The sequence below is a fragment of the Homo sapiens genome, chromosome 7, assembly GCF_000001405.40.
Source record: "Homo sapiens chromosome 7, GRCh38.p14 Primary Assembly".
NCBI lineage: Eukaryota > Metazoa > Chordata > Mammalia > Primates > Hominidae > Homo > Homo sapiens.
This window is the reverse complement of record NC_000007.14, coordinates 30,225,683-30,240,242: the sequence shown is the minus strand read 5'-3', so window position 1 is coordinate 30,240,242 and position 14,560 is coordinate 30,225,683. Positions and strand designations below refer to the sequence as shown.

General features: G+C 42.1%; 1 long non-coding RNA gene across 2 annotated transcripts in view; it reads right to left on the bottom strand.

The window, feature by feature from the left end:
- Window positions 1-14,560, bottom strand: part of LOC124901607 (uncharacterized) — a 95,727-nt gene that overhangs the window by 44,012 nt on the left and 37,155 nt on the right. The window contains exon 2 of one of the 2 annotated variants that reach the window (XR_007060273.1): window positions 12,498-12,584. This is a non-coding gene — a long non-coding RNA (uncharacterized LOC124901607). Of the gene's footprint in view, window positions 1-12,497; window positions 12,594-14,560 lie in introns of both variants that reach the window. The other variant, XR_007060274.1, reaches the window with a different exon arrangement.

Sequence of the window (14,560 nt, the reverse complement as noted above, 5' to 3'; positions counted from 1 at the left end):
GAACATCCTCATTTTGGGAGGCCAAGGCGGGTGGATCACTTGAGGTCAGGAGTTTAAGACCAGCCTGGCCAACATGGTGAAATCCTGTCTCAACTAAAAATATGCAAATTAGCTGGGCATGGCAGCGCACGCCTGTAGTCCCAGCTACTCAAGAGACTGAGGCAGGAGAATGGCGTGAACTCAGGAGGTGGAGGCTGCAGTGAGCCGAGATAGCGCCACTGCACTCCAGCCTGGGCGACAGAGCGAGACTCCGTCTCAAAAAAAATAAATAAATAAAAGTAAAATTAAAAAAATAAGAATAAAAGGAATATCCAAAACTGCAGAGAAGGCAGCCCAAATGAAAGGTGAGTGATGGTGCAGGGCATGGTGTATACACACAGCAGTGTGTGTCTGTGTGTGTATGTACACATGAGCACATGTGTATGCAGAAGGATTAGCACCGGGACCTGAGCCTAATAAAGTTAGGAAGGAATAAACTATGCAGGGTCTTGAAAGCTAGATGCATAAATTTGTAATCATTGCAGTAGGCAGCTTAGAGCTACTAATGGGGAAAGAAATTTGGGCACGGGTATCTATCTAGGTGATGACATAAAAGCAAAGTAAAAATGGAGGAGAAATAATCCTAGGATATTTTGAAGGCACAATTGACAAGCCTGGATGATTGGCTCAATTTGAAAGGCTGAATGGAGGGAACAGTCAATGTTAATGCCAAAGTTTTGAGCTCAGGGGCATGTTGGCACCAACATAGAAAGGGAAGTTTGAAAGAGCTGAAAGAAGATCATGAATTCTGTTTTAGAAGTGACATTTCATTTTTCAGCAAGAGACTTTCCATCCTCATTTGTTTATTTGGCTATGTGGTTACCAGAACAGATTTGCATCTGGAGTGCAATGGGGGAAGCCTGGGGAACAAGAACAGACTTCTCTCTCACCCACATTTCTGGCTTTCTTAGCCAACAATACAAGACCAGAAACCTCCACTAGATATTAAATGGCTTCTTGGTCTTGCAGTGAAGCCTCTGGCTAGAATGAGACACATGGAAACCTGTGAGTCAAAGAGAAGATCTCAGAAACCCATTATTTGCTGTGACTTCAGAGCAGTACTCACATTCTTTTGCTGACAAGTATGTACCAACCAAATTTGGCACTGTCAGCACACTGGCAGGGAGCCAAGATGGTAAATAGAAACTGATCCATCACAGAAAAAAAAAAAAAGAGGAGAGCAAATGATCATTCCACCCTACATTTCTTGGGCAAATAAGGAGGCAAATGATCATTCCACCCCATAGAGCTCATGCCCACCTCTGAGATAATAGACCATATCCCTGTTCTCTGTAACTCAGGCAACTTTAAATACAGCATCCCCAAATGACATCAGGTTGTAAGGCCCTGGTAAAGGCAATTGTTTGAGGCTGCACAGACTCTGCTGGAACTTTGGGAATCTTTCTGCATTCCAAGCACCTAAATGGGGGCTTTCTTGATAGGTAGTCCCTGGGTTAACCTCACTTTGATTTTCATAACACAATCATGCACTTGAGTTTCAATCTGGCTGTGGATTTTAGAGCACAGATTAACAGATGCCTATAGAGTCTATATAATTTTGAACGCTAGCATGTAACCCTCACAATCACTCTCACTAGAATCAATTCATTTAGGGACATTTGGCTTTTCTCTTCCAGGCATTCTGGAAGTCCTAAGTGGGTCCACTTGCCATGTAGCATAGTGAGCAGTTGTTCAGCATGTAGGTTTTGTGCAAGCAGAGCTATGCTAAAGTAACAGCTTTCCTTCTACGAGCTTCTTTGACCTGGGGAAAAATTATCAGTTTCTTTATCAGTAAAACAGGGAAATAATACCTAGTTTCAAGTGGTATTGTGATTAATAAATTATATAAAGAGGCTGTATTCATTATGTTTTGCTGCCTAACAAATTACCCCAAAATGTAGTGGCCTAAAGAACAATAAAAATTAATTATCTCATAGTTTCTGAGGGTCAGGAATTGAGGAATGGTTTAGCTGGGTGGTACTGGTTCAGGGTCTTATAAGGTTCATGGATGTCAGCCAGGGCTGCAGTCATCCAAAGGCTAGACTGGGGCAGGAGGATCTTCTTGTAAGGCTGTTCACTCACATGGCTGATATGTGGTGCTGGTTCTTGGCAGGAGACCTCAGTTCCTCTCCACAGGATTGATGGAGTGTCCTCAAAGTGACAACTCGCTTCTCCCAGAGTGACCCACCAAGAGACCAAAGCAGAAACTGCAATGCATTTTAGGACTTGGCCTCAGAAGTCACAATCACCACTTCCATTGTATTCTATTTGTTAAAGAGGTCAGCCCTGATTCAATATGGGAGGGGACTACGCAAAGGCATGAATATCAGGAAACAAGTATCATTGGGGGTTTTCTTGGATGCTGGCAACCATAGGGCTTGCACAGTTCCTAGCTAAATGGTAGCTAATAATATGAATAATATTATTATCTGCTTTTTATCAAATAAAAACCGTTTATTTTCCTCTGTTCTAAAATGACCCAATCATTGCTTTTCTGCTCTCAGATCTACTGGCCTGTCAGTCCCCTAGTGATGTCAGAAAGGGCAGCACCCCATGACCTCACAAGTGTGAGTCAAATAACTTGTATTCTGAAACTTTGGCCTCTTCTATTTCTTTATATATGTAATGAGAATACCTAACTCCAACTTCCTGATTTCTCTGATGATTTGAATGCTGCTGTCAGCCAGCATGTGCAGGACATAAGCAATCACTGCTGCAGGAAAGATGCTGACTTGCAGTTCATGGCCTGGCTCTGCTAGGCAGAGAGTAGTGACCCAGGTCACCCCTGTGACACCATGGGGACCATGTCAGAAACGGAAATGTGCCATTATGGGGCAACTAAAGAAGCCTGTCATCTCTCAGGCAGTGTTTGTTGGCACTGGTCCCAAACACCTGGTTAATTGTAAGTCACTGTCATGGTAACCTTCCCTACATCATCAGAGTAGATGCTACATGCTTAATGAAACTCATATTGGCTAGTGATGGGATGGCTGAGGACAGGTCAATGGCAGAGGCTGCCAGTTGTTTCCCAACGTCAGTTCTACCCTTCTTCCATAGGGAGAGATTCCTAAACATTAGCTGGGAACAAGGCACCCCATAATAAAATCTATGCCTTTCAGGCTTTTTTGACAAAGTTCTGGCCAATGGGACATAAGTGGAGGTGGTACATGAAACTTCTGAAGAGGGAGGCATGCCTTCATTCTCCTCTTCCTCCTTCTTGATGGCTGGAATGTTCATGTAATGACTAGTGCTCAGAGCTCCAGGTGCCATTTTGAACCATGAGGTGACCTTGGGAATGGAAGCCACTTGTGGCAGAGCAAAAAGAAGAAACCTGGGTCCCTGACACCATGGAGCTCCATTCCAATCATGGGTTGCCTGCTTCTAGATTTCTGGAACATTAGAAAGAAATAGCTTTTCAATTCTTTTAAGCCATTCTTACTTGTTTTCTTTCTGTTGCTTTATGACCAACATAATCCCAACTACATAACGTCCTATGACAATGGCTATTATCCCAGTTCTAGCACATGATCTGTCACCAGGGCATGCATGTATCAAACGCAGGAAAGTCTGTAGAAATGATTCCAGGAGAGAGAAGAGAAACCATCATTTATAGTTTTATGAAACATTTATTGAGCTGTCCCTACTATGGGCAAGGCACCGTGAGGGATTCAAAAGTGAATGGGTCTCATCCCATGAAGCTTAACTATCAAATTGACATGAAGGAGGTCAGACAGTTGTGTACGGAGTTTGTTGAGTGTTTCTCCTCCATTTGGGCTTCCTGTTACTGCCACTTTGTTCTTTGTGAAGAACTTCTACATGTCAGGCACTGTGCTAGGTGCCGGAATCACAATGATATACTAAAGCAGATGTAGTATTAAATACATCTCCTTGTGCAGTTAACAGTATAGGATGATGTCATATGCTATAGGTATACTTTGGGTTCCTGTGTCTTTAAAAAAGTAAAATTCCAATGGAACAGAACAGAGCCCTCAGAAAAAATGCCACATATCTACAACCATCTGATCTTTGACAAACCTGACAAAAACAAGAAATGGGGAAATGATTCACTATTTAATAAATGGTGCTGGGAAAACTGGCTAGCCATATGTAGAAAGCTGAAACTGGATCCCTTCCTTACACTTTATACAAAAATTAATTCAAGATGGATTAAAGACTTAAACGTTAGACCTAAAACCATAAAAACCCTAGAAGAAAACCTAGGCAACACCATTCAGGACATAGGCATGGGCAAGGACTTCATGTCTAAAACACAAAAAACAATGGCAACAAAAGCCAAAATTGACAAATGGGATCTAATTAAACTAAGGAGCTTCTGCACAGCAAAAGAAACTACCATCTGAGTGAACAGGCAACCTACAAAATGGGAGAAAATTTTCGCAATCTACTCATCTGACAAAGGGTTAATATCCAGAATCTACAATGAACTCCAACAAATTAATAAGAAAAAAACAAACAATCCCATTAAAAAGTGGGTGAAGGATATGAACAGACACTTCTCAAAAGAAGACATTTATGCAGCCAAAAGACACATGAAAAAATGCTCATCATCACTGGCCATCAGAGAAATGCAAATCAAAACCACAATGAGATACCATCTCACACCAGTTAGACTGGCGATCATTAAAAAGTCAGGAAACAACAGGTGCTGGAGAGGATGTGGAGAAATAGGAACACTTTTACACTGTTGGTGGGACTATAAACTAGTTCAAACATTGTGGAAGTCAGTGTGGCGATTCCTCAGGGATCTAGAACTAGAAATACCATTTGACCCAGCCATCCCATTACTGGGTATATACCCAAAGGATTATAAATCATGCTGCTATAAAGATACATGCACACGTATGTTTATTGCGGCACTATTCACAATAGCAAAGACTTGGCACCAACCCAAATGTCCAACAATGATAGACTGGATTAAGAAAATGTGGCACATATACACCACGGAATACTATGCAGCCATAAAAAATGATGAGTTCATGTCCTTTGTAGGGACATGGATGAAGCTGGAAACCATCATTCTCAGCAAACTATCACAAGGACCAAAAACCAAACACTGCATGTTCTCACTCATAGGTGAGAATTGAACAATGAGAACACATGGACACAGGGAGGGGAACATCACACACTGGGGCCTCTTGTGAGGTGGGGGGAGGGGGGAGGGATAGCATTAGGAGATATACCTAATGTTAAATGACAAGTTACTGGGTGCAGCACACCAACATGGCACATATATACATATGTAACTAACCTGCACATTGTGCACATGTACCCTAAAACTTAAAGTATAATAACAAAAATAAAATAAAATAAAAAAGGAAAATAAATAAAAAGAAAAAATAAAAAAGTAAAATTTTATTAACATTTCTTATTTCAAAAGTGACATATTCAATAAGCAGAAGAAAATAATCACATATAATTCAGGGACAAATATTTTTAACATTTTGATATTTTTATACTTTAAAAAAATTAGGATTATGTGTTTGGGTACCTACTTTTTCAGTCAATATCATGTTGTAAAAATTTTGCCATAACAATATGTATATTCCCACAACAATATTTTTAGGGGATATCATGTATTCCATTGAATGGAGCTAATGTAATTTATCCAATCCCTTATTGCTGGACATGCAGGCAGATCTTAATTTTCACTCTTATAAACAGTTGCTATGATGAATCTTTATGTAGTTAAATGTTTTTTATATTTATGATTGCTTCCTTGGAATAAATTCTTCAAAGTGGAATTGCTACATTAAAATTTTTGTAAAATTCTAAGAGTTTTGGTACAAATCTAAATTAACTTTCAATAGTTAGACAAATTTAGTCTCCCTCCAGCAGGCCAGGAGTTTTCCTAAATGGTTCTTTTTTAATATAACTACATTGACAGGGCTCCCATAACTCGATGAATCACTTGTGCATTTGTATGAATCGTTTTTCAGACTGTTTCCCTTCCCAGAGGAAAGAGCAGAGCTCCCAGAGAGGCAGGAGCCTGGCAAAGGGCACAGAAAGATGGGCCAGGCCTGTGAACAGCAGTCCCAGCCAAAGGCCTTCTCCACAAGTAGACCTGCCTAACTCCTGCAGAGTGTTCCTCAAGCTGATGAAAATGCACATTACATTCATTCTAAGGGCAGAATTTTCTCTTCCCATGAGTGACAAAAAAAAAGATAAATAAATAAATTCAGAATTCTCAGATTGCAGCTCCAAGTCCTGCCAGCAACAATTAGTTGTAGAGAGGATAATGGTGTTTCCTCTTCTCGATCTTCACCTTCTCATACTTTTCTTCCTCTCTCATTCTTTGTCATCTATTATTTTCCAAAATAAAAATAGCTTTGTTGAATTTTCTATTTATATCCTTTCCAAGCAAGAAATAGGGATCTATATCACCATTTGAATGAATGTTCATTATCCTATTGTGGGGACGTTGTATGATTTATTTAACATGTATTAAATAATGTCTTGACAGCCATTTTGTTGTCTCCAATCTTCAATTTTTCACTAGTGTGCATCCCGACACCTCTGTCTTTGTATGCTTGTCCAATTTCCTCCTTAGGATAAATTCCTAGAAGAGGAATTGGGTCAAAGTAGATGCCTATCACCAAGCTGCCCTGCAAAGGGTTTCACCAATTTACTTCAAGAGGGAGGTTCCTAACATTGCAGGCAGGGCATGGGCACAGAAAAGCTTCTCCTCGATTTCTATTTCTTCCTTCCTTTCCTGTTAGCTGAGAGAGGCAAGTTGCTTTCTAGAGACCCCAACCACTCAATTAACTCTGTTAAAACTCTTCCTTCCTTTCTCAGATTAAAAAGAAGAAGAACTGTTTTGTGTCTTAGCCAGGAGCCCCACACCTTCTGTTACAAAGGAGTAAAATTGAAGGTGCCAGTCATTCAGTTGAAAACAAAAATTGCTGAAACTCGGTCCCACTGAGTCATCATCCATTAAAAACCTTGTAAGTTTTGTGTGTGTTTAATACATCTGGTATATTCACACAGAGGCCCACACACGTTTGATTATTTATACGGGGAAGGGTGTGTGTCTAGGGGATAAATGTATATATGTGTGTATAGATTACACATATGACCAAAAACTTAAAACAGAAAAATATAACCTCCCCTTTTCAAGGCATAGATTGATACTTTCTACAGAAGTAATCAATAAACCTATGTTTTTTTCATGTTTACAAATACAAATGAATAGTAAATATTTATTTTCCTGATTTTCACGGACATTGCTGATCTATACCTGGCATTTTTGGTAACATGCTTGTACCCTAAAGTGAGAATGGCAAGGGCTGCAGTCAGGGGCTGGGGGAGCCAGCAGGGCACTTTACAATTTCTCAGAAGGTGAATACTGGCCGCTGACTTTCATGTTAGGTCCAAACCTGAACTCCACCTTCTGCCCTCACCACCCCCAAAAAAACCCTCTGAATACAGAGACTTGGCTACTACTTCCTTTGACTATATAGCTACAGGAGAGATATAAAGAAGTTTTGTTTTTTTTTTTTTACAACACAGTTTCACTCTCCATTTCTTAAGGAAAGGAGCTACGCAAGTCTCAAGTTGGGATGACAAAGCTGTAATTGGAGCATCTGGTCTCCCTGCCTCCAGTGAGGCTGGGCATTTCCCAACAATATGTTCCGCAGGGTTTTCTGGTTTGGAGTCAAGCCACTGAGATACTGTCTCGCAGTTAAGTAGATCATGCAATTAGACAGATTAGACAGAGGAGCTCTCTCTCTCCCTCTCTCTGTTTTCAGTGTAGTTGCTTCCTCGGTTTGTGTTAATTCTAATAAGGCTAGTTAGAAGTCAAGCCATTCCACCTTCCAGCAACATGTTAACCAGGAGATAGGGTGCCAAGTTCATATTATTTGAATTTTTTAAAACATAGAATGTTTTCAGAAATGCAACTGAAACTGTAGTGGAATCCCTACCATCCCTAATATTTCACCAGATTCAGAATTTCAAGCATCAGTGGAAAGAGCAATTGATCAGGATCCCTATGCAGCCCCAGCTGTGATGCTAACCAGCTGTGTGGACTGTTCCCTTTACTCTAGTCTTCTCTGCCAACAGTGATAATAATGTGCGTGCTTCCCATCTAACTCATGGAGTTGCCACGGTAAGAACCAACTGAAGTAACAGGAAAGTATTTTGGAAATATACAAGGCAAGGTAGTCATCACTGCTGCCATGGCTTATTTTACTTGCTTGAGACCATATAGAAGGGAGGGGAAAGACTGATTTTATTACTCTAGCTACTCCCATTATTCTCTTAAGCAAGACACAAAGCTAATTCTTCCCTCTCCATGCAAGCCATTCTGCACTTACATACTCCCTGGACCTCGCTCCTGCCTCTAAAGACCTCCAGGGAAGGAAATTCTGTTCCACCCAGGCAACTCATTCTGGAGTTCAAAAACCTCATTATCTGGAAGTTCTTTCAATGTCTATCCATAGCCCCTTGTACTGCCAAGTAACTGATTACCTCTGATTCTGATTTCAGAGGAGATGAGGATTATCTCTTTCACCCTACTGTGACCTTCAAGGCTGTTGAGACTTTGCTGCTAAGTTTTCTTCTTCCCCTCTCCAGTGGAGGAAACATAAGATTTTCACATCCAGTTCAGAGGAATGTCAAGAATTTATTTTACATGCAGTTGAAAAGTTGATGCTGCAAGAACCCAGGACTCAGAATCAGGCTGAGGACAGGCTCTTAGATGAGGGAAAAGTCACCAACCACAAAGACATCTCCTGAAGTTGATCAAAGCGTTCCCATCTGTTGCCCAAGAGACAATGACCAGGCAGGGCAGATCAAAGAAAACCAATGTTTTATGGTGATAGTTAGAGCACCCTAGGGCTGCAGCTGTCAAAGTTCTGTTCTTCAGTGGTCCAGCCAGTGGAAGGGTCTGGCAATGTTCTGTTTTCCAGAAGCTTCCTTTGTAAAACTTCAGAATGCTCTTGTATTAGTCCATTCTTGGGCTGATATAAAGAAATACCTGAACTGGGTAATTTATAAAGAAAAGAAGTTTAATTGGGTCACAGTTCTGCAGGTTGTACAGGAAGCATAGAAGCTTCTGCTTCTGGGAAGCCTCAGGAAGCTTCCAATCAGGGTGGAAGGAAAAGGAAGAGCACACACTTCACATGTCCAGAGCAGGAGGAAGAGAGAGCGAGGAGGTGCTACAATCTTTTAAACAACCAGGTCTCACAAGAACTCACTATTACGAGAACAGCACCAAAGGGATGGTACTAAACCATTCATGAGAAACTGCCTCCATGATCCAGTCACTTCCCACCAGGTCCCACCTCCAACATTAGGGATTACAATTTGACATGAGGTTTGGACGGGGACACAGATCCAAACCACATTAGCTCTGAATGTCTTCAACAAACAAGAGTCAGGGGCATATGTTACCACCACCTGTATTTTACAGAAAGAGAAATTCAGATATATTGTTCATCCTTTTTTGCAACTTTCTGCACTACATAGTGGACTCTTTATCAAAGCTAGGGTATTTTTCAGGGATGCTAAAGTATTGAAATAAGTTCCAGCACTGTGATTTATTTCTACAGAGAGGCTTTCATTTTTTTTGCATCCTACTGCGAAGGAATCACTTTCCATAAGGGAGATCATTTTGAGTTTGAGTGTAACGCGGTCAATCAGGAGGCAGGGATGGGAAAGCTCCACCCTTACATTGACTTACACCTAAGGCAGAGAAGGGCCTTCTGCAGATCAGAATCCCATTGGCCTTTGTCACTGAAGTAGCAATGCTTCTCCTCTTGTATGCAATGGGTAGTCTCCGAGCCCAGAGTGACCTGCAGAGTCTCAGAACACAGTCCACCTTCAGCTCTGTCAGTCCTTCGGTATGTGGGCATTGGCATCGAATCCTGGCACTAGGCCTGCCTCTAACATTAGTGGTGGCCAGGGCAACAGTACAGCTGGAAGCCCCCTGCACTCCACCTGCCCCACCTCTCTTCCCATCCCTAGCTCCATCTTGTACTGAAAAGGATTTGGGGACCCAAGCTCCATCTGCTGTACTCCCCAAAACATCTGCCTTCAGCCACCACTCAGACCAATCAAGTAGCATGTTCTAGAATAGAAATGGGGCATGGCCTCCAGGTAGTCACATCCTCTTGGTGCCTGGTCTCTTTCCTCCATGGAGGTAGGTGGAATGGTTTGAATGGATGGTGTCCTCTGAAAAATTCATGTTGAAACGTAATCCCCAATGTAACATTATTAAAACTTATGGCCTTTGAGAAGTAAGTCATAAGGGCTCTGCCCTCATGAATGGGATTAGTGTCCTTATAAAAGGGCTTGAGGTTGAAGGGAGTGTCTCCAGCCCCTCCATCCCTTCTGCCATGTGAAGACACAACATCCCTTCTGCCATGTGAAGACACAACATCCCTTCTGCCATGTGAAGACACAACATCCCTCCCCTCCAGAGGATGCAGCAACAAGGGACCATTTTGGAAGCAGAGAGCAGCCCCCACCAGACACCAATCCTGCTGGCACCTTGACCTGGGACTTCCAGCTTTCAGAACCATGAGAAATAAATGTCTATAGTTTATAAATTACCTAGTCTGTGGTATTTTGTTATAGCAGCACAAATGGACTAAAACAGAGGGCAGAGGGAGAGGGAGCTTTCTAAAGCTCAACCCTAAACCCTTTCACTTGCTAGCTGAGGCAAGTTGCTGAAACTGCCTCTGCCTTAAATTCCCCATCTGTGAAATGGGAATAATAGAGATGCTTACCTCATGGGCTGCTATGAGCACTAAATGAGATAATTCATGTAAAGTGTTTAGAACAGTGATAGGTCGTAGAAGCACTCATAAATGATAGCCATGATTGTTCTTAATTTATACCTGTAGAGTCTGAATTCTAGGCAGGTAACCACTTCCCCAGCCACTGCATTCATCCCATTTAAACACCCTTGCCACTATGCAGTTGCCACCAAGCATTGAACAGTTTCCTAGACCAGCGCTGCCCAATAGAAAGTCAATGCAAGTCAATAAGTAATTTTTAATTTTCTTTTTAAAAATAATTTCAACTTTTATCCTAGATCCAGGGTTACATATGCAGGTTTGTTACATGGGTATATTGTATGATGCTGAGGTTTGGGGTACAATGGATGCCATCACCCAAATAGTGAGCATAGTACCCAATAGTTAGTTTTTCAACCCTTGCCCCACTTCCTTCCTCCTACCTCTAGTAGTCTCTATTGTCTATTGTTGCCATCTTTATATCCATAAGTAGCTAATGTGTAGCTCCCACTTACAAGTGAGAACATGTGGTATTTGCTTTTCTGTTCCTGCATTAATTTGCTTAGGATAACGTCAAATTTTCTAGTAGTTACGCTAAAACAAGAAAAGAAGGAACAGGCGAGATTAATTTCATAGTGTATTTTATTTAACTCAGTATGTCTAAGATATTATCATTTTGACATGTAACCAAGATAAAAATTATTATGGATATATCTATGTTTTGGTACAAAAGCTTCCAAATCTGGTGTTTATTTTATGCTTACAGCACATTGCAACTTGGACTAGCCATGTTTCACACACTCAATAGCCACACATGTCCTGTGGCCACCATATTGGCCTGTGCAGCTCTGGATCCTTGCTGCCTATGGTGGCCTGCTAACCAGTTGCATCTGCACCGGCAGGCCAGATCTACCAAGTCAGAAGCTGCATTTCAGCAAGATCCCCAGGCGATACGTGTACACATTAAGGTTTGAACAACACTGGGCTAACACTATCGGCTAAAAGCAAACTTGGAGCTTGTAGAAAGCAAGAAGGAGCTCTCCCCTCTCACCACTCATTCTTTGTGCCTCTTTTGAGACCCCTCCAGAGAGCTTCAAAAATGTAATGCCTAGACCCTACTCCTGAGATTCTGATTTAACTGGTTTAACGAGGGACCTTGGAAATAGGAATCGATTAAGACGTTCCACAGGTGATTCTGACACGTAGCCTGGTGGAGAATCACGGGCTAACCCAACACTAAACACTGTGGCCTCATTCAGCTGCCAAACACACCTGAACTACATCCTTTCAGGCTTTGGAGTAAGTCAGGTTGAGCAACACAGCTCAGTATAAGCAGCTAAATCTCTGTAAAATTGTTCAAATGGTCCCAGTTGTCTCACAAACTCCCAGAAATTAATGCCATATGTGAAAATCGTATCCCTTTGGGAAAATAAGACATTCTTAATGTGGCTGCTGCTGTCCATTACTGGCTGCAGTTTGCTAGCTCAAGTAATTCCCTTTTGGTTACCAAGATATAAGGAAAATATAGAATGTATATATTTATTAAATTATTAATTATCCTACTAAAAGTCCTCATGTTCAACATATTAATATTGTTGGTCATTTCCAGGAAATAGTTAAATTCCACAGACATTTATTGAGTCCCTACTGTGTTCCAGACCTAAAGGGGCTGCAAAGATGTTTCAATAAAACAGATCCTACCTTCAAGGACCTCACCACCTTGTGGGGACCCAGCAAGGGCCTGGGATTCAGGAGAGTCGAGTCTTATCTGTCCTTCAGTTTCTCAATCTGTAAAAACTCAAATAAAATAGAACATGTTTATTACCAGTACTTAGAGCATCTAAAGGATTTCAAGCATCATCACTTTTTAACATTATTGTTGGCATTTTTTAACCTTAAAAAGTAATCTCAATGTATACATTTTCTAAAGTCACTCATTTTCTTCTTGAAAAGAAAGCTTTCTGGATAAGGCATAAATATAACTTTAAGTCATTGTGGGTCCAACTTGATCATTTTCCCCCACTGTTTTGAAATACTATATATTTAATATAATAATGAAATGGTTAGGGACATGCAGTTTTAAATTATGCAAATCACAAATGCTGGAAAGGAAGACATTTTGGTACTCTATTTCTTTCCAGAATTCTTGTGTGTGGGTTGGGTGGGTGTGCACATGGGCACGTGTTTGCATTTTTTCTTGCCTGAAAAGGAACACGAAAAGGCAGAAGAGGAAAGAGAAGGGACAGTTAAAAAGACAGTGACCCTGTCTCAAAACAAACAAACAAAAAAAAACAGTGAGCGAGGCAGCGGGAGGTGTAAGCAGAGAAGAAGGAGAAAACATGGCTTTGAAAGGCTACCTTGAGGGAGAACACAGGACTGGTGAGAGGAGAAAAACCACGGTTGGAGGCCACCTGCCCCACCTGCTGGCAAGGACCTAAGTTTTCCCTGGAAGCGGACTGCGCTGCCCCTGCTGGAAATTGACAGGCCTTCTGCCCAAAGGAAAAAAAAGTCCCATTTTAAGAACAAATCAAGTTGACAACACATTGCCATTCTGTCTTACCGGGTTGAGTCTTAGTGTAGCCACTTTGAGGAGCCATTTAACAGGTATCAGGCTGCCTGCTCATAGCTGAAAAGCCTCCCCAACAGAACATATGGCTCAGAGCTGGCCCCTGCTCCCTTCACACAATTCCTCTCCACCTCGTCCCTCCCTCACCGTGTGTGCAGCCAGGTGACGGGGCTTGGCAGGTGCCTCTCTGGCTCTCACTTGCAATCCTCCATCATGGTACCCTCACATCCTTCTGGGCATGCAGGCAGCAGTTTGGCTCGTGAGATCGTAAATGTCAACCTGCCATCACCTGTCTTTCCTTGCTCATCACCCTGAGGGGCAGAGCTGACCCGAAGCAGACAGCAAGCACCATCGTGGGAGGCAAAATGGATACACCGAGCCAAAGGAGTGTGATTAAAAGGCCTAACTCCCTTCTCTCCCTATTGCTGGCATTGGCCCTGCTAAGCCCATCTCCCAGGAAGATTGCCTTTGTGATTGTGTGTCACCCAGAAAAGAATAATAGCACGTTTCTCCAAGTCCCTTCTTGTGAAAATATAACATGTCAGGAAAGAGGGGGAGAGATGGAGGGGCAGGAGAGAAACTTTGCAGCTGACACCAGCTGTAGCTGTTTCCCCATTTCTGGATGCCTGCATGGTTCTGCTAAATGGTGGGGGAGCAGCTGGGGCAGCCAGGGAGGGAGCTGAGGCCTGGCAGTGATTCAGACACACAGAGCTTGCTGAACCAGTGTGTTTTATAAGAAGGTGGCAGAAAAGGGAAGTGGAAAGGGAATGACTAATAAGGAAGTAATTTTGAAACAGAAACCTGTCTGGATTTGGAAGCCAGAGTGACAGCCCCAGGTGGGAGAAGGAGCAAGCCTGTTATTAGAATTGACGAACACATAAGTGCTGTATCACTCCCCAAGAGCCCTGCCTGTCTCCCTCTCAACTCTCGCACAAGTGGCCCTGTATCAGGAGTGAACCACACAGAAACAAAGTGCTTTAGACAGACGCAGGATTTACACTGCCAGAGCCTCAGCTGAAGAGGCCTGACCCATGTGGAAGGCCTGCAGATAAGAGAATGAGTGCAAAAATAGAAGGATCAAGAGATTAATTATAAAGCAAATATAGCAACAGAGCAGAAAATGCGGACAATTGAAGGGGAAAATCCATGCTATTCCACCTGCCTAATGATGGTATTTTCATTCTGTGAATGCTTTCCT